General features: G+C 46.2%; 1 protein-coding gene across 11 annotated transcripts in view, besides 3 other annotated features; it reads left to right on the top strand.

Annotated features, from left to right (window-relative positions):
* The window catches only part of TLR5 (toll like receptor 5), a 33,845-nt gene extending 11,939 nt beyond the window's left edge, over positions 1-21,906 (top strand). For all 11 annotated transcript variants that reach the window (XM_006711506.4, NM_001437624.1, XM_006711504.4 and 8 more), the window contains one exon: positions 18,275-21,906. In XM_006711506.4, the coding sequence (XP_006711569.1) occupies positions 18,279-20,855 (2,577 nt within the window). In that variant the 5' untranslated portion in view covers positions 18,275-18,278 and the 3' untranslated portion in view covers positions 20,856-21,906. The remainder of the gene's footprint in view (positions 1-18,274) is intronic.
* Positions 1,572-1,761: an enhancer, noted in NCBI's record as "active region_2587". NCBI's record gives its function as "activates an Ori minimal core promoter by ATAC-STARR-seq in GM12878 lymphoblastoid cells {active_cell/tissue: GM12878}" and the evidence as "EXISTENCE:reporter gene assay evidence [ECO:0000049][PMID:35858748]".
* Positions 1,902-2,031: an enhancer, noted in NCBI's record as "active region_2586". NCBI's record gives its function as "activates an Ori minimal core promoter by ATAC-STARR-seq in GM12878 lymphoblastoid cells {active_cell/tissue: GM12878}" and the evidence as "EXISTENCE:reporter gene assay evidence [ECO:0000049][PMID:35858748]".
* Positions 14,286-14,787: an enhancer, noted in NCBI's record as "H3K27ac-H3K4me1 hESC enhancer chr1:223289865-223290366 (GRCh37/hg19 assembly coordinates)". NCBI's record gives its function as "activates a minimal SCP1, AML or CMV promoter by ChIP-STARR-seq in primed H9 embryonic stem cells {active_cell/tissue: H9 hESC(primed)}" and the evidence as "EXISTENCE:reporter gene assay evidence [ECO:0000049][PMID:30033119]".

Here is a 22,623-nt window from a genome sequence, read left to right as displayed (position 1 = left end):
GAGTTTCCTGCTCTGTGAAATGAAAGGGTTCAAGCCCTGAGGGCCTCTCTAGTCAACCATTCCAGAATTCACTTAGAGTCTGTGGTGGGGACCCTGAGGTCATCCTGAAGAGTTTGAGTGATATGAGCATGAGGAGTCAGTGAAGACTTCTAATCAGAGTCATGCCCTAGGAAGCCCCCTCAGATAGTAAGTGAGGGGTGTGTGTGTCAGGGTCAGGCTTACTATGGGAGACTAGCAAGGTGGTGTCTCCCATATCTAGAGGGGAGGCAGTGGAGCCTTGCAGCCAAGCAGTGGCTGCAGAATTGGAAGAAGGGGAATGGATGCTGGAGGCATCCTGACGTGAAATTCACAGAACTGGCCACCAACAGCATTGATGCCCTGCTTAAAGCTTCTTCCAGCTGGGAATTAAGGAAACCAGAATGACCTCACCCTCCTGGTTAGATTTTAAGGATATATACACTAAAGACAGAAATAAGGATCCATGAGCAAAGATGAATATCAGGCAGTGTCTGACCAGTGAGAAAGGTCTCAGAATGGCTATAGCCCTAAATGCTCTGAATTTGGGGGAAATGCTACAAAGATGCAAAATGATTTTTCAAGCTCTGTTCAGATAAGGAAGAAGGAAGCAACAAGCTCACTCTCAGAAGCAGATGGTGCAATGGTATAATACTAGCAGATAACCACTCCCTGGCAGGAGAGAAGTGATGGCCCAGGTAGGAGAGAAAGAAGCAAGCAAGTGACGTGGGGCTGTTCTGAATCTGCCCAAGTCCTTCTCAGACCGGCCCATCCAAGGAACCCAGAGAACTGGCAGAGGAGCCCTCTGCACCTGGCAGCCTTTTCTGCAGGGCCACGAAGAGGGAGGGAGGCACCAGGCAGGATGTGAGCAAATTCATTCATTCAGCAGATATTTGCCAACATAATACATTCTAGGTGCTGGCAACACAGTGAGTCAAAGAGAACCAAACAATACCTGGCCTCTGGAACAAAATTCTGATTCACAAAAAGGGACACAGGTGGGCTTTTAAACCACAAACCAGCGAGCTTGACAACAACTGTGGACAAATTTCTAGAAGAGGTTTAGTAGGTGGTCTGCAGCTCTGTGGAACGGTGCGGGGATCCCTGTATGTCAGCTTGTGTTTCTGAATGGCCAGTCACAGAGAACTCAGCTTGTTTCCATCCTGACAGGGTTACCCTTTTCTAGCAACTCTAGGAATTTGGCAGGGCATTTGATAGTCTCTCAGGGTACGCCCCAGCCCCCACCCATTGCTAATGGAATAAAGACTGCACATAAAAGTGCACATAAAAGGGAAATTTAGGCTACACTTAATAGACGTGCTTTGTATTATGGAATCATAAAGACCTAGAGAGGCAAACAGACCCTAATGAGACCACCGGGCATCAGTAAATAAATCAACCGTTCTGCAGTGCACAGAAACCTCGTGTGCTGATTCTCTGAGTCCTCTTTAGAGAACAGTAGTTAGTTGTCAGACGTTTAGCCCGCTGTGTTAATCCCTGATGCTAATGACTGTTGCTGCTCAGGCGTGTGATGGCTCTGAGGAGAAACCTGGGTAGGAGCTCGCTTTCCATTTTGCCCGCATGAACGGACTGCCTGTTCCTGGCCGTGGAGTGCATTTTGCACTCACGTTTGCACGAGTGAGCTGCCCTCCCTCCCTGACCTTGTTGGCCTGAGTGTGACTGCCTGGGGCCCAGTCACACCTCCCTGACCCCAGTTTCCTCTCCCAGTGGCGCTGCTGGGTGCTGTTCCCCGGGACTGCGGCAGAGCCCTCCTCGCGGGCCTGACACGGTGTCCGGCCGCACGGATGACCGGTAGAGGGCAGCAGCGCGCTCCGGGTCGGTCGGGAGCAGGGCCTTCCTAGTCCAGAAACCGCGGCAGGTCCGCTGCTGAGGGCCAGGGCCTGGTGGGCTAGGGGCAAGAGCAACGTGGTGAACCGGTGGGCTCACTCTGCAGGAAGAAGAGAAAGAGGAGACGTGGAGAAGTCGTGCTGACCACATGGCGTATCGGACACTGCACATTTATGTGGGCCCCAATGTGCCTGGCGCATGGTTTCTGCGACAGGAGCCCAGCCGTCAGGTGTAGACGTGCAGGAGGCTGGCAGATGGGCTAGAAAAGCAAGGAGGCTCAGCACTTGGAGGTGTCGAAAGAGGGTTTGAAGAGAAAGCCCGGAGTGCCTGGAATGGTGGGGAGGCATGAAGAGGCTGACACCATGAAAGGCAAGGACAGTTCAAGGGCACTTTCAAGGCCTTCAGGGAATGGTGCAGAGAAGTGAGCGCGCGCAACAGCTGGAGAGGGCGGTTGTGAGGAAGGTCGGAGAGAAGGCCCTCCTGTCACTGGCAGAGGGTCTTGACTGCAAGTTGTCCAGGTTCTTGGCGTTTTGAACAAAGAATTGGACAAAATACCCAGCAAAGCAAAAAGCAACCAATCGGAGGCTAGGAAGAAGCTACAGTTATATTCCTATGCAAATGAAGACTCGACAGGCCATCAGTCTGATGGGTTGTGGACAGCAGTCATTCAGAGGCTGGAGTGAACTTACAAAGTTGCAAATGAAGACTCACCTGCAGTCAGTCTGATTGGTTGCGGACAGCCAATTTCCCATCTGCCACACAGAAAAGGACAAAGGGAGTAGCGTCTGGTCCTTTTGTTACTTATGCATGGAAAGTTAGGATTTTCCTTTCAATTTAGTTCTGGGAAGTCGGTGTGAAACAGACTTAGGTTCCCTGCCTCCAGACCCTATTCTACTGCCTCACTCCCACATTGTTCCATTGTCAGGAATAAACGACTCTGGGGGTAAGGTGGACCTCCAGATGACGACGAAGGTAGAAGGGGAGGAGAGGCTGAGAGGCTAACCTGCCACTGGGACCCAGGGCCAAGGCCCTTTGTGATTGAGGGGAAGTGACCACAGATCAGCAGATGATGACTGAGAGATGGGCTGGAGCAGGACCGTGGTCCGGTCCTGAACAACACATGCAGCCATGCCCAGAGATGCTAGGCTTAGAGGCTAACATGCAGTAGACAGCTGCGTGGCCTTAAGTTACTTAACATCTCCGGGCTTCAGTTTCCTCATCCGTAAAATGGTACCTACAGTAATGGTACCCAGTAATAGTACCTACAAAAGACTGGGAGGATGAGGGAAGGGAGGGAGCTCCCAGCTGTGTGGGGAGGAGCATACGGGCGAGGGTAACCCCCCATATGGTATTATAGGGATTTGCGTCTATTTCTGTCCTCCCTCCAGACTCTAGCCTCATGGTTCTCAGACATGGGTATGCATCAGAATGACCCAGATGCATTAAAAACACTGCCAGGTCCCAGCCCCAGAGCTTCTGATTCAGCGGGGCTGGGGTAAGGCCCAGTAATTTGCATTGCTCGCTAAGCCCAGGTGCTGCTGCTGCTGCTTGTTCCCGGACTGCACTGTGGGCACCACTGCTCTGGAGTCTGCAGAGCTCCAGCAGGGACTCCTGTTGAGGAGAGACGGGCATATAGTGGGAGCCCAGGCCTAGGACGAGTAACTCTAGGACAAACAAAAATTCCAGATACAGTGCAAGAAGAGGTAGTGATGAATGAAAAAGCGATCACTCCAGCAGAGCTTTCAAGTCATGGTGGTTTATGAAGGGAGTTAGAATTGCACCTGGGGAGCAAGTGCTGAGGTTAATGGCAGTGCAATTCCCCGTCTGTTTTATTGGAACTGTTGTCAGAGGCAGAATGCTGGGCTGGAGGGACTGTGGCCCTAGCAATGTTTTGGACTTGACAATGCCCATTTGTTGGGCATGGTTCCGGTGGGATGCTGTATTATGCAGCTAGAGAATGTATTTGTCCTGGAAGAGTTCACTTTGTTCACTGCCCTCGAGCCTTTATCCAAGGCTAAACCCACATGCTGTACCTACTTTTGGAATTGGTCCAGGAATTTTATACCTGTGTGAATTTGGAGAAACTCTCTCAGACACCCATTTGGAAATGCATTAGTGTTTTTCTCAGTGAGTCCTCCATGCTTGCTGTTCCAATGGCCCTCCAGGTTTGGGCCCAGCACCTGCCAGGAGAAGCATTCCCTCTATAGCTTCCACCTGACCACAGCCAGCCCAAGCCCTGCTCAGAACCCCAGGCCTGCCAGCGAGCCTGTGACTGGAATTATCTATTAGGGATCAAGCATTAACTTGACACAGGAGCAGCCCTGGCTCAGCTGGAGGCATCCGCATGCTGTGGTGCCCCAGGAACAGAGGCACCCCTGAAATGCAAGCTGTGTGTTTGCTGCAGAGACACCATGGCCCATAACTCCCCAAGCATAAGTGAGCAGCTCTGCTGTCCAGGCAATGAAGTCAAGAAAGGGAACCAACCCAGCTAATGGCTGGGATTAAAGCTAAATGAATTCAGCTCAAATGAAAGGGATACTGACCCTTCTCCCTCTGGCCTCATTAACTTAATTAACAGTGCTTGGCAGGAGTATTGAAGCCTGCATTGATTGTTCTGTTTCTGTTTTTCCCCCTCAAAGCCCTAGATACAAGTTAAATCAGCCTTAATAATAAAAACCCAATACTCAACAGCCCTCAGATTTTCTTACCAGCCCTTCTTCCTCTAAGAGAATCACTTGGTTTCTGAGTTGGAGGGGATCCATTAGACCAACACTTCTCAGAGCATGGCCTGAGACCACTAGCTTCAGAGTAACTGGGATATGGCTATAAAATGCACTTTCCAGGCCTCAGAGGCCTGTGGAACTGGAATATTGAGAAGTCCAGTTTGGGTATTTGTAGTGGGTTTTGGGGGTTTAATTTAATTTTTTTAATTGTGGTAAAATAGACATATAATTTTCATTTTATAAAAAATGTCCATTTTAATAATTTTTAGGCAGACAGTTCAGTGACATTAAGTACATTCACTACTGTTTGTCTCCAGAATGTTTTCATCATCCCAGACTGAAACTCTGCCCATTAAACGCTAACTCCCCATCCTCCCCTCCCAGCCCCTGGTAACTTCTGCTCTGCTTCCTATCTCTGAATTTATCTATTCTAGATATCTTGTAAGTGGATTCATGCAATATTTGTTCTTTTGTGACTGGCTTATTTTACTCAGCATAATGTCTTCAAAGTTCATCCGTCTTGTACCGTGTGTCAGAATTCCATTCCTTTTTAAGGCCGAAAAATATCCCATTATATAGACAACAAATTTTGTTCATTTATTCATTCATTGGTGGATATTTGGGTTGTTTCCACCCTTTGACTATTGTGAGTGATACTGCTATGAATATTGGTGTGCAAATATCTGTTGAGCTTCTGCTTCCAGTTCTTTTGGGTGTACACCCAGAAGTGGAATTGCTGGGTCATGCGACAGTTAGTTCTGTGTTTCATTTTTTGAGTCAGTACTGTTTTTAAGCAGCCCACATGGTTCTAAGCTGCAGTCAGGGTTGCAGCCAGAAGACCAGGTGATCAGACTCTCTGCTGGTGGAGTCACCTGAAGACTCTGAACAACCCTGGATGCCCAAGCCACACTCCACACCAACTAAATTTGTAATTTTTTAAAGTCTCCTGGTGATTCCGGTGTGTAGCCAAGTTTGAGAACCATTGGTTTCCATCAGTGATTCTCAAATTTGAGTGTGTATAAAATTCACACAATGGCTAAGGATACAGATTCCTGAGAGAGCACACCACCACCCCCCCACCAACACCACAACCCCCACCGCCACCACCATCACCACCAACCACCGCCAATCCCAAAGAGGCTCATTTAATGCATCTGTGGTCAGTCTGGGCTTCCTGGGTCTGAAGACTTCCCAGGTGATTCTAGTGTGTAGCCAAGGCTGAGAGCTACTAATCTTGTTAAGTCTTTCAATGAAACATGAGAACACTGAGAGTGTGAAAGGTGACACACTCTGCCCAAGTCCCTGAGCTCGTTAGGTTCTGAGTCTGCACTCATTCCCAGGGCTGATTTTCAAGACAGTCCCACGGGTTCTCCATACTCAGCCTTGCAGGTGCAGGGGGTAGAATCTTATATAGAACCTGCATCTTTTCTACTCTTAATTTGAACTGTAATCCTTGAATTAGAGTGTAGTCAGTGCTGCTATAATGCTTGTTTTGGAATGTAAATTTGTTTCTAACGTGATTGATGTATTAGGGAACAATATTAATGTGTTAGGGAAGACTATTGATATGCTGGAGAATAATATTAACATATTCAAGAATGTGAATTTCACATTTGCTTATGTGCAATTTCTTGCATGTAAAGGCAGAAAACTGCACCCAGCTGTGCCAAAACACAAAAGAATACACAAAATACACCTCCAATATTAGTCAGCTACCTCATTCTCCATGTGTGATTTGAGCCACATGCACCCACATCTGTTGCTGTAACTTCCCCTCTGATATCAAACAACCCTTCTTCCCCCATTCACAATAACTCACTGGCGGAGTGCGGTGGCTCAGGCCTGTAATCCTAGCAATTCTGAAGGCTGAGGCAGGTGGATCACCTGAGGTCAGAAGATCGAGACCAGCCTGTGCAACATGGTGAAAGGCTATCTCTACTAAAAATACAAAAATTAGCCAGGCATGGTGGTGCACACCTGTAATCCCAGCTACTCAGGAGGCTGAGGCAGGAGAATCACATGAGCCTGGGAAGTGGAGGCTGCAGTGAGCTGGATTGCATTCCAGCCTGGGTGACAGATTGAGACTTCATCTCAAAAAATAAAAATAAAATAACTCACAAGCTGCAATCTTTCGGATGTCCACTTCCACAAGCAAACTGCAGGTCATTTTCAAAGTCAAGTGCTGTATTATGTATTTTTAAGAATTTAACTTGGCTAAAACTGTGCTACCTTAAGGGGGCTCCAATCCTTTTTTTTTCTTTTTCTTTTTTTTTTTTGTTTTAGACGGAGTCTTGCTCTTGTCGCCCAGGCTGGAGTGCAGTGGCATGATTTTGGCTCACTACAACCTTTGCCTCCTGGGCTCAAGGGTTTCTCCTGCTTCAGCCTCCCAAGTAGCTGGAATTACAGGCACCCACCACCACACACAGCTAATTTTTGAATTTTTAATAGAGATAGGTTTCACCGTGTTGTCCAGACTGGTCTCGAACTCCTGACCTCAGGTGATCCACCTGCCTCAGCCTCCCAAAGTGCTGGGATTACAGGCGTGAGCCACAGCGCCTGGCCCAATCCTTTCTTTATAGGCCACTGTTAAGTTTTCAAGTGTGAAACACCCTAGCTCTATTTTTCCCATGAGCCTTGTGGTTTTTATTGTGTGATTTTGCATAGTGTAATGACTTGTAAAAAGGAATGTATGTCACCTGATAGAAGAACTAACTGTAGATGTAATTATACACATTGCTTTTTAGCATCCTTTTAACAATGAGTGAGCAGCTCACTGCCCCCTTGAGAATTTTAGTTCCTGTCCCTCTCTTTCCTCCCTCTATAACCACTAGATGGCGCACTCCTCCGCTGGGGTCGGGCGCCTTTGCAGCGGCAACCTCAACAGCGTGGACGCCGTTCTTGAACTCTCGTCTCACTGAGGTTTGATTGGGTCTGGAACAACTTCACAGCCTGGTTCTCCTCTTTAGATTGGATTTCCCCAATCCCAGTGCTCATTCAAGATTTACTTCCGCCCACTTTAGCTCTGGCTTCTTTTTGGATGGTACTTCTTCCCAGGCTATCTGCAGGAACTGCCTCGCTGCACACACCTCTGCTCACCTGCTCACCTGGTTCCTCTGCTCACCTGTCCTGCCATTTAACCCACAGAGATCTACTTCAGAGACAAAAATCTCGTTATTTCATGCCTTTCTGTACTTCATAAAGAAATCTGTCTGCGTGGTATCTTTGTAATACGACATAAGCCCAGACAATGTTCTTTCACATCCATTTGTTCAGCTGGCCTTATCCACCTTACTTACTTACTTTCATTTTAGCTTCCCTATTAGGTACTTGAAAATTCAGTATCCTGGAACATATTTCGTTTGGGGCTGTCTTTCACTTATCTTTACCACAAATTCAAGGTCACCCAGTTTGGTGGCATGTTTGGGAACCGGCATTGAGTCATCCATAAAAACAAAGAATTTAAACTAAAAAATGTAACTGTTCTTCAGAGCTGGCATTCTCACTCCCATGTCTGCAGGGATTTCTCTGGTTTCATGAGATGAGAATTTCCTTCTCGTGTTTGGATAAAATAGCAGCTGCAAAACTGTCAGCAACTTGGGGTCCAAGTTTGTTCTTTCCTGCAAATACTGGTAGTTCAATATTGGAACATATTTATATCTTAGAGTCACTTAAAATCCTCATTTCTGAAATCAAATTTTCTATTCTCTTTTCTTCTAGAATAGAGATCAGCAAACTACGGTCTGTGTTTGGACTGCAAAACCTAAAATATTTACCCTCTGGCCCTTTAGAGAAAATGTTTTCTATCTCCTGTTCTAGAGCCTAAAGTGTGATTGTTTAACAGAAACTAAGGGTCCTCAATGTGACATGGAGATGGACAGGCCTCAGGAAGTCAGCAAATCCTCTGAAACTGGGTTCAAAATTTGGTTTGTGATGCAAATGTGCATTTTTATAGGAAAAAGGATCAAAGCTATCATCAGAGTCTCAAATGGGTCCAAGACTTCAAAAGGTTTAAAAACATGTTGTCTACTTATGGGCAGTGTGACTGAGCATGAGAGCCCACCATAACATCCTAGGTGTGAGCAATGAAGCCAACATGCTTACATGCCTTGTTAGGGCACTTCAGAATCTACTTCATACTATAAGATGTGGAAAAGGTTATGTGGAACCCAATACAAATATGGTCTTTCCATTACCATTTATTTTCCTCCTTGGGTGTCAAGGCCTGTTCTCCCCCACTATTCTTGTCTCATCTGAAGTACATCTTCAGACTCTTCACCCCAGGTACCACTGAGTAAGGGCTCATGCTTCCTACCACACACCCTTATCTCTGCCTCCCAGGATTATATCAGCTTCTAGAATCACAGCCTTCCAATTGCACGCCAGGAACCCTGGAGCTGGATTTAGGGCCCATTGCAATAACTGCCTCTCATCTCATCCATTGTGACATCTGTCCCTCTCTTCATAGATTCTATTCTGCCCTTTTTAGGTTGGTTTATCATCATGATGCATATTTGATATTATTGAACACTGTGGGGTGTCAATGCTAAATGTGTAATTGAGGATGGCAGGGACAGAGCAGAGCACCTCCCATGGCACCTGAGAAAGCCTGTCCCAAACCTTGGAGGTAGGAGGGATGGTGCTTGCCTTTAGGAGTTTCTTCTGAACTGTAACACCCTCATCTGCCCTGATTGGTTTCTATTTTCTTTCAATAATTCTTCATTTTATCTATTGAGATCACTTTGAACTTTTATCCCATTTTCCAAAATGCAGCCTCCTGCCTGTGTGTGTCATCTATAAATACAAGGTCATTACCTCTGAGGCCCATTTGAAGCCACAAGAAATTCACTGAGACAGAAAGTGGCTACTTTGTTTGCATTACTCAATCTCATCACCTACAAAAGAAACAAACACTGGCCAGGCACATGCCTGTAATCCCAGCAGTTTGGGAGGCCGAGGTGGGCTGATTGCTTGAGCCCAGGAGTTCGAGACCATTCTGGGCAATATGGCAAAACCCTGTCTCTACAAAAAAAGTACAAAAATTAGCTAGCATGGTGGTATGCACCTGTGGTCCCAGCTATTCAGGAGGCTGAGGTAGGAGGATCACTTGAGCCCAGGAAATTAAGGCTGCAGTGAGCTGTAATCGCACCACTGCACTCCAGCCTGGACAGCAGAGTGAGACCCTGTCTCAAAACAAAACAATCACAAACTATGTAGATGGAAAGAATACATAGGATTCGCAGAATTCCTGGCTTTAGTCATCAGAGTGCCTGTAAGGAATGTGGAAAAAGACCTGGAAGCTTTACCTCTCGGCACTGCAGCACTGTCAGACCCAGGCCTCTGTTTTATAACAAATATTTGAAATGACCTCTTTATTATTTTGAAATGACATTCATAGCTGTAACATAATCCACCTACATACATAATTTTATAGAAATCAATATACTGTCCTAACTTGGATATAAAAAAGAAATAAAAGGGGAAGTAATTTATAATGAGTTGGTACATGTCTCAATGTGTGAATGCTTATGTGCAACTAGAAGATGAAATGAGTTAAACACTCACACCTACTTATAAAGAAGATGCTTGGATTTAGGAGAAGTAAAATAATATTCAACTGACCCTTCTTAAACATTTTTTTTCCAAGGCAGGGTCTTGCTCTGTCGCCCAGGCTGGAGTGCAGTGGCACAAACACAGCTCACTGCAGCCTCAAACTCCCAGGCTTAAGCTATCCTCTCACCTCAGCCTCCCGAGTAGCTGGGACTACAGGTATGCACCACCATGCCCAGCCAATTTTTGCATTTTTTGGTAGATATGGGTTTTTGCCATATTGCCCAGGCTGGTCTTAAACTTCTGGGATCAAGTGATCTACCTGCCTTGGCCTCCCCAAGTGCTGGGATTACTGGAGTGAACCTCCACACCCTGCCTCTTCTCAAACTTTTTTATTACACTTGACATTTTGAAATGAGGACTAAGTAAATTTGCTCACACATAAATGCTACCACCATATGATGCAGATGGGCACTGTTTGTGACATTGTTTGATTCTCCACAGAGGCACTGGCCATCATGAAGTGATTTTCTGAAATGGTGAATAACACTGTCAATAAAAAAAAGTCAAACTCTGCAAAATATTTCGAGAGTTTATTCCAAGCCAAATGTGAGGACCATGACCTGTGACACAGCCCCAGGAGGTCCTGAGAACATGTGCCTAAGGTGTTCAGGCTACAGCTTGGTTTTGTATATTGTAGGGAGACACGAGACATCAGTCAGTCTATGTGGGGTATGCATTGGTTTGTCCGAAAGGTAGGACAACTCAAAGCCTGGGGCTTCCAGGTCATAGGTGGATTGAAAGACTTTCTGACTGGCAATTTGCTGAAAGAATCAAGTTTTTATCTAAAGGCCTGGAATCAAGGGGTTGTGAAGAAAGGTTCTTATGCAGATGAAGCCTCCAGGTAGCAGGCTTTAGAAAGAATAGATGGTAAATGTCTCTTTCATGAGAACTAAAAATGTGCCAGACTCTTAATTAAATCCCTCCTGGATCAGGAAAAGACCTGGAAAGGGAAGGGGATTCTCTACAGAATATAGATTTTCCCACAAGAGACAACTGTGCAGCGCCCTCTCAAAATATGTCAAAGAAATGTTCTATTTTGGGGTAAAATATTTAAATTTCTTTCAGGTCCTGCTATCTGTTGTGTTGATATCTTTTTATTTTATTTTATTTTATTTTATTTTATTTTATTTTATTTATTTTATTTTATTTTATTTTATTTTATTTTTGAGACAGTCTCACTCTGTTGCCAAGGCTGGAGTGCAGTGGCATGATCTCGGCTTACTGCAACCTCTGCCTCCTGGGTTCAAGTGATTCTCATGCTTCAACCTCCCAAGTACAGATGCCACCACCCCGCCCGGCTAATTTTTTGTATTTTTAGTAGAGACGGGGTTCCACCATATCAGCCAACCTGGTCTTGAACTCCTGACCTCAGATGATCTGCCCACCTTGGCCTCCCAAAGTGCTGGGATTACAGGCATGAGCCACTGTGCCAGGCCTGTTGTGTTGGTATCTTATTGCTACAAAGAGTCTGTTCTATCAGTCTGAAGATCTCTGTTTTAATGTTAACACTGGTCAGTTGTGCCTGAATTCCAAAGGGAGGAGGGTATAATGAGGCGTGTCTGACCCCCTCACCTTTCCCATCATGGCCTGAACTAGTTTTTCAGGTTTTTTTTTGGAATGTGCTTGGCCAAGAGAGGGGTGCATCAGTCAGTTGGGGAGCTTAGAATTTTATTTTTGGTTTATAACACTTTATTAAGGTCCAAACTAAACAAGGTAGTCTTTCCTAGATTGACACAGTAGTTGCATTCCTGAAAAATTCAGTATATATTAAAACCGTGCAAAAACTATTTTGTTAGCATGTAACACAAAGTTAGGTTCTGAGGGAATTTTGAGCAAGTTTTTGACCCTTGGGGACTTTGGGCAGGACATCCTACAGCTGTGTGGATGCTGGCTGATTCTGCATGGTACGGGACTGTCATGCACGTGTCAACCAAAAATTAAATTCTAAGGCCCCACAACCATCTGAATGGACTTTCTTTCTCTTCTTTTTCATTTCTTTTCTTTTCTTTTGAGATGGAGTCTCTCTCTGTCACCCAGGCTGGAGTGCAATGGCACAAGCTCAGCTCACTGCAACCTCTGCCTCCTGGGTTCAAGCAATTCCCCTGCCTGAGCCTCCTGAGTAGCTAGGATTTCAGACACGTGCCACCATGCCTGGCTAATTTTTGTATTTTTAGTAGAGATGGGGTTTCACCATGTTGGCCAGGCTCGTCTCAAACCCCTGACCTCAGGTGATCCGCCTGCCTCAGCCTCCCAAAGTGCTGGGGTTACAGGCGTGAGCCACCGTGCCCGGCCCATCTGAATGGACTTCCTTCTAGGTCAGGGCACTCTAAAATTTAACCTAAAAGTCTGGTTTAGGCCATGATGGGAAGTGGAGGCTGAAAATGCCTCATTATACCCGTCAGCATTAACATCAACACAGACCTTAAGTCTGATGAGAGGCATTTATATTATATTCTCTGTAGCCTGCTACCTGGAGGCTTCATCTGCATGATCAAACTTTGGACTCCACAACCTCTTATCACAACCCAGACATTCTTCCCTATTGATAACTCTTTTTTTCTTTTTTTGAGATGGAGTCTTGCTCTGTCACCCAGGCTGGAGTACAATGGCACAAGCTCAGCTCACTGCAACCTCTGACTCCTGGGTTCAAGCAATTCTCCTTCCTCAGCCTCCTGAGTAGCTAGGATTTCAGGCATGCGCCACCATGCCTGGCTAATTTTTGTATTTTTAGTAGAGATGGGGTTTCGCCATGTTGGCCAGGCCGGTCTCCAACCCCTGACCTCAAGTGATCCACCTGCCTCAGCCTCCAAAAGTGCTGGGATTGCAGGCGTGAGCCACCATGCCTGGCCTCTATTGATAACTCTTTCAACCAATTGCCAATTAGAAAAATTTTAAATCTACCTATAAATTGGAAGCTCCCTCGCCCCTCCAGTTGTCTCATGCTTCTGGACCAGACCAATGTATATCTTAAATGTATCTGACTGATGTCTCATGTCTCCCAAAAATGTATAAAACCAAGCTGCACCCTGACCACCTTGGGCACATGTTCTCAGGGTCTCCTGAGGGCTGTGTCACAGGTCGTGGTCCTCACATTTGGCTTGGAATAAACCTCTTTAAATATTTTACAGAGTTTGACTCTTTTTTATTGACAGCGTTATTCACCATTTCGGAAAATCACTTCATGATGGCCAGTGCCTGTGTGGAGAATCACATATGTGGCACTCATATTTAGCTCAGAATAAATCTCTTCAAATATTTTACAGTTTGGCTCTTTTCATTGACATACATTATCATGACATCTTGATTACAGGGGTGATACCCACCCCTATCACTGTGACAACCAAAAATCATCCCTGCAAAATTACAGTTTCCTAGGAGGCAGCTGTCCCCATCAAGAGCCACGGCTTTTAGAGTGTTACAGATAAAATGCACTGAGGCAAAGGTCCTCGAACAGATCCAATCCCTTTATCTTTCTGTTGATGGCAGTGTTGTTCATTCAACATACTCTTTCCTTTTTTTCTTTTCTTTTCTTTTTTTTTTTTTTTTTTTTTGTGAACACCATGCTTCTTTCTGTTTGCTGTATGGAGAATATAGTCTACCAGGGGACAGAGATGATAAGTATTGAGAGGTGACAGCGTGCTGGCAGCCCTCGCTCACTCTCGGTGCCTCCTCAGCCTCACTGCCCACTCTGGCCGTGCTTGAGGAGCCCTTCAGCCCACCGGTGCACTGTGGGAGGCCCTCTCTGGGCTGGCTGAGGCCGGAGCAGGATCCCTCTGCTTGCTGGGAGGTGTGGAGGGAGAGGCACAGGCAGGAACCAGGGCTGGGGTGCTCACGGGCCAGCGCGAATTCTGGGTGGGCGTGGGCTTGGCAGGCCCTAACTCGGAGCAGCCAGGGGCAGTGAGGGGCTTAGCACCCGGGCCAGGAGCTGCGAAGGGGGCCCCGGGTCCCCCAGCACTGCCGGCCCCGCCGGCGCCACACTCGAATTCTCGACGGGCCTCAGCCGCCTGCCTGCAGGGCAGGGCTCGGGACCTGCAGCCCGCCATACCCGAGTCCCCCTGTGGTGGGCTCTCACGCGGCCAAGCCTCCCCAACGGGCGCCGCCCCCTGCTCCACGGCGCCCGGTCCCATCGACCACCCAAGGACTGAAGAGCACAGGCGCATGGGGTGGGACTGGCGGGCAGCTCTGCCCCTAGCCCTGACGCGGGATCCACTAGGCAAAGCCAGCTGGGCTCCTGAGTCAGGTGGGGACTTGGAGAACTTTTATGTCTAGGTAGAGGATTGTAAATACACCAATCAGCACCCTGTGTCTAGCTCAAGGTTTGTAAATGCACTAATCAGTGCTCTGTGTCTAGCTAATCTATTGTAAATGCACCAATCAGCACCCTGTCAAAACGGACCAATCAGCTCTTTGTAAAACAGACCAATCAGCTCTGTGTAAAATGGACCAATAAGCAGGATGTCGGTGGGGCCAGATAAGGAAATAAAAGCAGGCTGCGGCGGCCAGCAGTGGCAGCCCACTGCGGTCGTCTTTCACACCGTGGAAGGTTTGTTCTTTTGCTCTTTGCAGTAAATCTTGCTGCCGCTCGCTCTTTGGGTCTGCACTACATTTATGAGCTGTAACACTCACTGTGAAGGTCTGCAGCTTAATTCCTGAGGCCAGCAAGACCATGAACCCACAGGGAGGAATGAACAACTCCGGATGGGAAGAATGAACAACTCCAGACGCGCCACCTTAAGAGCTGTAACACTCACCGTGAAGGTCTATAGATTCACTCCTGAAGCCAGCGAGGCCATGAGCCCCCCAGAAGGAAGAAACTCCGAACACGTCCAAACATCAGAAGGAACAAATCCCAGACACACCACCTTTAAGAACTGTAACACTCACCGTGAGGGTCCACGACTTCACTCTTGAAGTCAGTGAGACCAGGAACCCACCAATTTCGGACACAGTATGATAAATAAGCAAATAGACAAGACAAGTAAGGGCTTGTGATCATTGCTTTGATGGAAATAAGATGGTTTTTGAAAGAGTAACACGGCAGGGGATTTATTTCAAATAGTGTGTGCAGGAGAAGTCTCGCTGGGGAAACACTGATGTGAGATCTCGCCACAGTAAGAGCAGAGAGAAGAGGGTTCACATGAAGGAAGCAGCACTTGCGAAGGTCCTGAGGCTGGAAAGAGTTTGGAATGCGTACCATGTGTGTATTCCAGGATGGCTGGTACTTCCACCCTAGGACCTTGGTGCTGGCTGCTCCTTTCCCTCAAACGTTGGGCCTCTCCACATCCTTTCCTTACTTCTGTTAGACACCTGCTCTAATCTCATTACATCAGAGACACCCTTCCTGACTCCTCTCTATAAACAGCAGCCACCACCCGAGCCATGGCACCCCCATCTCCTTTTTCCCACTTTACTTTCTTCCATTGCATTTACCTCTGCCTGTCAGTACCTATTTCCTCTTCCTTTTGTTATCACCTCTTCCGTCCACCAGAATGTAAGCTCCATGAGGGCAGGCTTGGTCCATTTTGCTCACAGCTGTATCTCCAGCTCCTAAAACAATGCCTGAGGCTTGGTGTGCTGGCTCATGTTTGTAATCCCAGCACTTTGAGAGGCCAAGGCCGGTGGATCACTTGAGGTCAGGAGTTCAAGACCGTCCTGGGCCAACATGGTGAAACCCCATCTCTACTAAAAATACAAAAATTAGCTGGGCGTGCTGGCACACATTTCTAATCCAAGCTACTCAGGAGGCTGAGGTGGGAGGATCACTTGAACCCGGGAGGCGGAGGTTGCAGTGAGCTGAGATAGCACCGCTGCACTCCAGCCTGGGTGACAGTGTGAGACCCTGTCTCAAATAAATAATAAATAAAACAGTGCCTGACACATAATGGGTGCTCAGCAAATTTTTTTAATGAGTTATTGAGGAGAAAAACTATTCAAGATAATGTTGACAAGACAGCCAAGAGCTGAATCATGTAAGTACTCACAGGATTTTATTCCAAGTACAGCAGGAAGGAAGGGAAGGGCCCTGTACAAAGAGGAATGATATAAACCAGATTATGTTTTTGAAAGAACATGCTGGCTGCTGGCTGGAAAATGAAAGCAAGACCAGAAATAAGAGAGCCAGTGAGGAGTCTCCAGTCTGGCCCATGCAAAGAGATGGCGGCGGCTTACAGTAGGGCAGTGGATAGGCTTGGGAGGTGGCACCAACAGGACTTGCTGAGGGATTGGATATTGGGGGGATGTTTAAAAGAATGATGTTTAAAAGACTCTGCTGTGTTGTCACCCTGAGACTCTGGATGGATATGGTGAAGCCATTTACTGAGATGGGGGAGAAATTCAGAGTGGTGATAAACATTCTCACCAAGTTTTTCCTAACGATTATTAGATGCCTGAGTTTGAAACTTTGAGTCAATCCAGGCATCCATGCCTACTTCTGATTTGCTGTAGCTTGTGTGCCACAGCCTCCCAGTTTCTGTGGAAACCCCACCATACATCAGCCCCAGCACAAAGCACAACCTCGTCAGAGCTAGCCCACCTCCAGCACCGTGACTGCTCCAGGCTTAATCTCTCCTGGTGTTGACACTTTTGCCAGTGATGGTGTCTCATGGGATTCATGCTCTTTATAAACCATTGCCTTCTTCCTATTTCTTTCATTTATTTTTCCTCTCATTCTCCTGCCCTCTGAGCTATATAACTCTTCCTTTACCTTCCAACAGAGGCCTTTCATTACATTTAAAGCAAATGGAATGCATAGTAGGCACCAAAGATGGAGGTGCTGTGCAAATAATAGACACCAAGCTCTCTGCAGGTGGGGTCCTTGTGTGTTTTCTCTTCATAGCACCCAGCACAATACTTGGAACATAAGCCAGACACGTTCATTGAGCACCATTTCTGCTGCACCCATGAAAAAAACACTCAACCCAGACAGATGGTTAGCTCCCCGACAGGACTTAAGCAAGTGGGCCAGTCTCTGTTTATTGTCGTACACTCACACAATCACACAGCTGCCAGGCGAGCACTAGGCACTTATCACACTTTTATTAAACCGATCACATCTGGCTCTTTGTGGGGTGCCAGAAAGTGCCCAATTTCTGCATGATGGGATGGACTGTGTGTGGAGTAAGGTCGGATAAATGGAGATGGGCCAGTAGCCTAGACAAATTAAGGGAGAAAAACAGTGAATTTATTTTCCACTCATCAGCCGAGCTTTCTGTGGGCTAGGAACGGGGTACCCGGCTGAAGTGAAGCAACATTGTGTCTCTTCCTGCTGTTTTCTCCACCTCCCCTCAGCAAATCATGAATGAATAAACAAACGAATGAATGAAGAAACATAGAGTTATTATAAGGATTAAGTGAAGGCAGGGTGCAGTGGCTCATGCCTGTAATCCCAGCATGTTGGGAGGCCAAGGTAGGAGGATCGCTTGAGCTCAGGAGTTGAAGACCAGCATGGGCAACAAAGCGAGACCCCCATCTCTATATTTTTATTTTAATTTAGAATAATAAATAAAATTTTTTTAAAAGAAAAGATTAAGTGAAATGTTTTTTAAGTACCTAGAATAGTGCCTAGTATACAGAAAATTCAACGTAAGTGTTTGATAGAGAGCAAGAATAGGCCAGGTGTGGTGACTCACATCTGTAATCCCAACACTTTGGGAGGTTGAGGCAGGCAGGTCACTTGAGCCCACAAGTTGGAGACCAGCCTGGGCAACATGGTGAAACCCCATTTCTACTAAAAATACAAAAATTAGCCGGGTACAGTGGCACGTGCCTGTAGTTCCAGCTAATCAGGAGGCTGAGATGGAAGGATGGCTTGAACCCGGGAGGCGGAGGTGGCAGTGAGCTGTGATCATGCCACTGCACTCCAGCCTGGGCAACAGAGCAAGACCCTGTCTCAAAAAAAACAGAAATAGAGTAAGAATAGTTTTGTCTGTATCTGCCAACAGCCACGTCTGTGGAGTCAGAGGAATGAAGGGGTCAAAGGGAGCAGGCACATCATAGAGAATACCCCCAAGATCTGAAGACCCCAGTGCAATACCTCGAGCTTAAATGCCTGTGTTTTCATTCTCCCTTCTTCTCCATAGGATCATGGGAGACCACCTGGACCTTCTCCTAGGAGTGGTGCTCATGGCCGGTCCTGTGTTTGGAATTCCTTCCTGCTCCTTTGATGGCCGAATAGCCTTTTATCGTTTCTGCAACCTCACCCAGGTCCCCCAGGTCCTCAACACCACTGAGAGGCTCCTGCTGAGCTTCAACTATATCAGGACAGTCACTGCTTCATCCTTCCCCTTTCTGGAACAGCTGCAGCTGCTGGAGCTCGGGAGCCAGTATACCCCCTTGACTATTGACAAGGAGGCCTTCAGAAACCTGCCCAACCTTAGAATCTTGGACCTGGGAAGTAGTAAGATATACTTCTTGCATCCAGATGCTTTTCAGGGACTGTTCCATCTGTTTGAACTTAGACTGTATTTCTGTGGTCTCTCTGATGCTGTATTGAAAGATGGTTATTTCAGAAATTTAAAGGCTTTAACTCGCTTGGATCTATCCAAAAATCAGATTCGTAGCCTTTACCTTCATCCTTCATTTGGGAAGTTGAATTCCTTAAAGTCCATAGATTTTTCCTCCAACCAAATATTCCTTGTATGTGAACATGAGCTCGAGCCCCTACAAGGGAAAACGCTCTCCTTTTTTAGCCTCGCAGCTAATAGCTTGTATAGCAGAGTCTCAGTGGACTGGGGAAAATGTATGAACCCATTCAGAAACATGGTGCTGGAGATACTAGATGTTTCTGGAAATGGCTGGACAGTGGACATCACAGGAAACTTTAGCAATGCCATCAGCAAAAGCCAGGCCTTCTCTTTGATTCTTGCCCACCACATCATGGGTGCCGGGTTTGGCTTCCATAACATCAAAGATCCTGACCAGAACACATTTGCTGGCCTGGCCAGAAGTTCAGTGAGACACCTGGATCTTTCACATGGGTTTGTCTTCTCCCTGAACTCACGAGTCTTTGAGACACTCAAGGATTTGAAGGTTCTGAACCTTGCCTACAACAAGATAAATAAGATTGCAGATGAAGCATTTTACGGACTTGACAACCTCCAAGTTCTCAATTTGTCATATAACCTTCTGGGGGAACTTTACAGTTCGAATTTCTATGGACTACCTAAGGTAGCCTACATTGATTTGCAAAAGAATCACATTGCAATAATTCAAGACCAAACATTCAAATTCCTGGAAAAATTACAGACCTTGGATCTCCGAGACAATGCTCTTACAACCATTCATTTTATTCCAAGCATACCCGATATCTTCTTGAGTGGCAATAAACTAGTGACTTTGCCAAAGATCAACCTTACAGCGAACCTCATCCACTTATCAGAAAACAGGCTAGAAAATCTAGATATTCTCTACTTTCTCCTACGGGTACCTCATCTCCAGATTCTCATTTTAAATCAAAATCGCTTCTCCTCCTGTAGTGGAGATCAAACCCCTTCAGAGAATCCCAGCTTAGAACAGCTTTTCCTTGGAGAAAATATGTTGCAACTTGCCTGGGAAACTGAGCTCTGTTGGGATGTTTTTGAGGGACTTTCTCATCTTCAAGTTCTGTATTTGAATCATAACTATCTTAATTCCCTTCCACCAGGAGTATTTAGCCATCTGACTGCATTAAGGGGACTAAGCCTCAACTCCAACAGGCTGACAGTTCTTTCTCACAATGATTTACCTGCTAATTTAGAGATCCTGGACATATCCAGGAACCAGCTCCTAGCTCCTAATCCTGATGTATTTGTATCACTTAGTGTCTTGGATATAACTCATAACAAGTTCATTTGTGAATGTGAACTTAGCACTTTTATCAATTGGCTTAATCACACCAATGTCACTATAGCTGGGCCTCCTGCAGACATATATTGTGTGTACCCTGACTCGTTCTCTGGGGTTTCCCTCTTCTCTCTTTCCACGGAAGGTTGTGATGAAGAGGAAGTCTTAAAGTCCCTAAAGTTCTCCCTTTTCATTGTATGCACTGTCACTCTGACTCTGTTCCTCATGACCATCCTCACAGTCACAAAGTTCCGGGGCTTCTGTTTTATCTGTTATAAGACAGCCCAGAGACTGGTGTTCAAGGACCATCCCCAGGGCACAGAACCTGATATGTACAAATATGATGCCTATTTGTGCTTCAGCAGCAAAGACTTCACATGGGTGCAGAATGCTTTGCTCAAACACCTGGACACTCAATACAGTGACCAAAACAGATTCAACCTGTGCTTTGAAGAAAGAGACTTTGTCCCAGGAGAAAACCGCATTGCCAATATCCAGGATGCCATCTGGAACAGTAGAAAGATCGTTTGTCTTGTGAGCAGACACTTCCTTAGAGATGGCTGGTGCCTTGAAGCCTTCAGTTATGCCCAGGGCAGGTGCTTATCTGACCTTAACAGTGCTCTCATCATGGTGGTGGTTGGGTCCTTGTCCCAGTACCAGTTGATGAAACATCAATCCATCAGAGGCTTTGTACAGAAACAGCAGTATTTGAGGTGGCCTGAGGATCTCCAGGATGTTGGCTGGTTTCTTCATAAACTCTCTCAACAGATACTAAAGAAAGAAAAAGAAAAGAAGAAAGACAATAACATTCCGTTGCAAACTGTAGCAACCATCTCCTAATCAAAGGAGCAATTTCCAACTTATCTCAAGCCACAAATAACTCTTCACTTTGTATTTGCACCAAGTTATCATTTTGGGGTCCTCTCTGGAGGTTTTTTTTTTCTTTTTGCTACTATGAAAACAACATAAATCTCTCAATTTTCGTATCAACACCATGTTCTGTCTCACTAACCTCCAAATGGAAAATAATAGATCTAGAAAATTGCAACTGCCCTTAGAGGTTTCCAGTCTCCATTGATTTTCTTTCAGATCCAATAATACCGTTCTGTCCTGCTGTGTTGATTATGGAATGTATCCTAATCATGGGAAGGGCACCTTGGGAGAAGTTGCAGATGGCTGACGTGCTTTCTCTAGCATTCAGCTAAAAAATGGGATGGTCCATGATTCTGCGTTCTCTGTGTTCTGCAAAACAACATTAAGTAGAAAACAAACAGAAGCAGAGGCACATTTCCTTCTTTTGCCACAGAAACAATGCCACTGTTGAGTGCAAGTCACACTTTGTCTCATAGATAAGAGGTGGCCCCAAAGAAGCTGGGATGAATGAGTCACTACCTGTCTTGTGACTGTACTGCACTTCATGTTCTTACCTTCGGCTTCTCCAGGTCTCGCCCTAGTGAGCCAAGAACTTTCTCTCACATGCTGCCTTTATTTAAGCCTGGCCTTCAAGACCTTCCATGATTTATCACCAACCTACCTTTTCAGCTTTGTTTCCTAGCACACCTCATTGATCAGCTGCTCAGGCTGTTGCATGAAGAACATGGACTTTGCACACAGATCCTGGGTTGAGTTCTGAGTCAGCTGTGTATTAGCCATGTAACCTTGGCCTTGGTATGCCCTTGCTGGACCTACATTTTCTCACGTAACAGCATCTATGTCATAGAATTCCTGTGAAAATTAAATTGGCCAAGGATGTCAGGGCTTCTCAGATCTTTTCCTTCGTTGCCCTAATGACCACAAGAGAACACATACACTGAAGGCCTCCTGGGGGGCAGTTGCAATTTCACTGAAGTTGTATTTTTTTATCTTAAATGAAATCTATGTGTATTTTCCATTCTGTTCTTTTTTTCATGTTTATTAATATAGAAATGTGTTTTTGCAAAAGGATTAAGAATACTTAAAACAAGGAAACTGTGCCAAAATTACCCCATAGCTTCACACACTGCCTCCTCCAAGTCCAGCGTAACTCCAGGTCAGCTCCTGCAGTTTGAGGGGTACACATGGGTCTGGGACTCAGCTCTCCAAACTGTCACCTTCTTCCCCTCACTGGGCCCCTCAATCCTGACTCCTCCAACACACACACGCGCGCACACACACACACACACACACATACACGCTATTCTCATCCCAACTTCTTTTGGCCACTTCTAATCAATGAGACCGAGCTTTCCCTGCACCCAGCGATGGCATTATTTTCACGCACACCATGCAGTCCCCACTGTACCTCTTTCCTCTGGATTCTTCTCCCATCTCTGCACATCCATCCTACGTTTTCTTCGTTTTCTTCAAAATCCAGCCCATGAAGCTCCCTGGGATCCCTAACCCAAAGTCCTCTCTCCCTTTTGTGAAAACTCTTGACACTTTATCTGGTCTTTTAAAAGTAGCACTTACTACTACTTCCTCTATCCTTTTTTCTGAGCCTGCCCGGCTGCCCGCCTCTCTGGAAGATAAGTTCCCTGAGGAAAGACCTTGTCTTCTGTGTCCTGCCCTCACTGGCTGTAGCAGATCACTTATGGTTTGGGGACCATTCAAGGGTTTCCCACTTACACAT

This window comes from Homo sapiens, chromosome 1, assembly GCF_000001405.40.
Source record: "Homo sapiens chromosome 1, GRCh38.p14 Primary Assembly".
Classification (NCBI taxonomy): domain Eukaryota; kingdom Metazoa; phylum Chordata; class Mammalia; order Primates; family Hominidae; genus Homo; species Homo sapiens.
The sequence above is the reverse complement of the archived record's forward strand: the minus strand, read 5'-3'. Positions and strand labels throughout refer to the sequence as shown.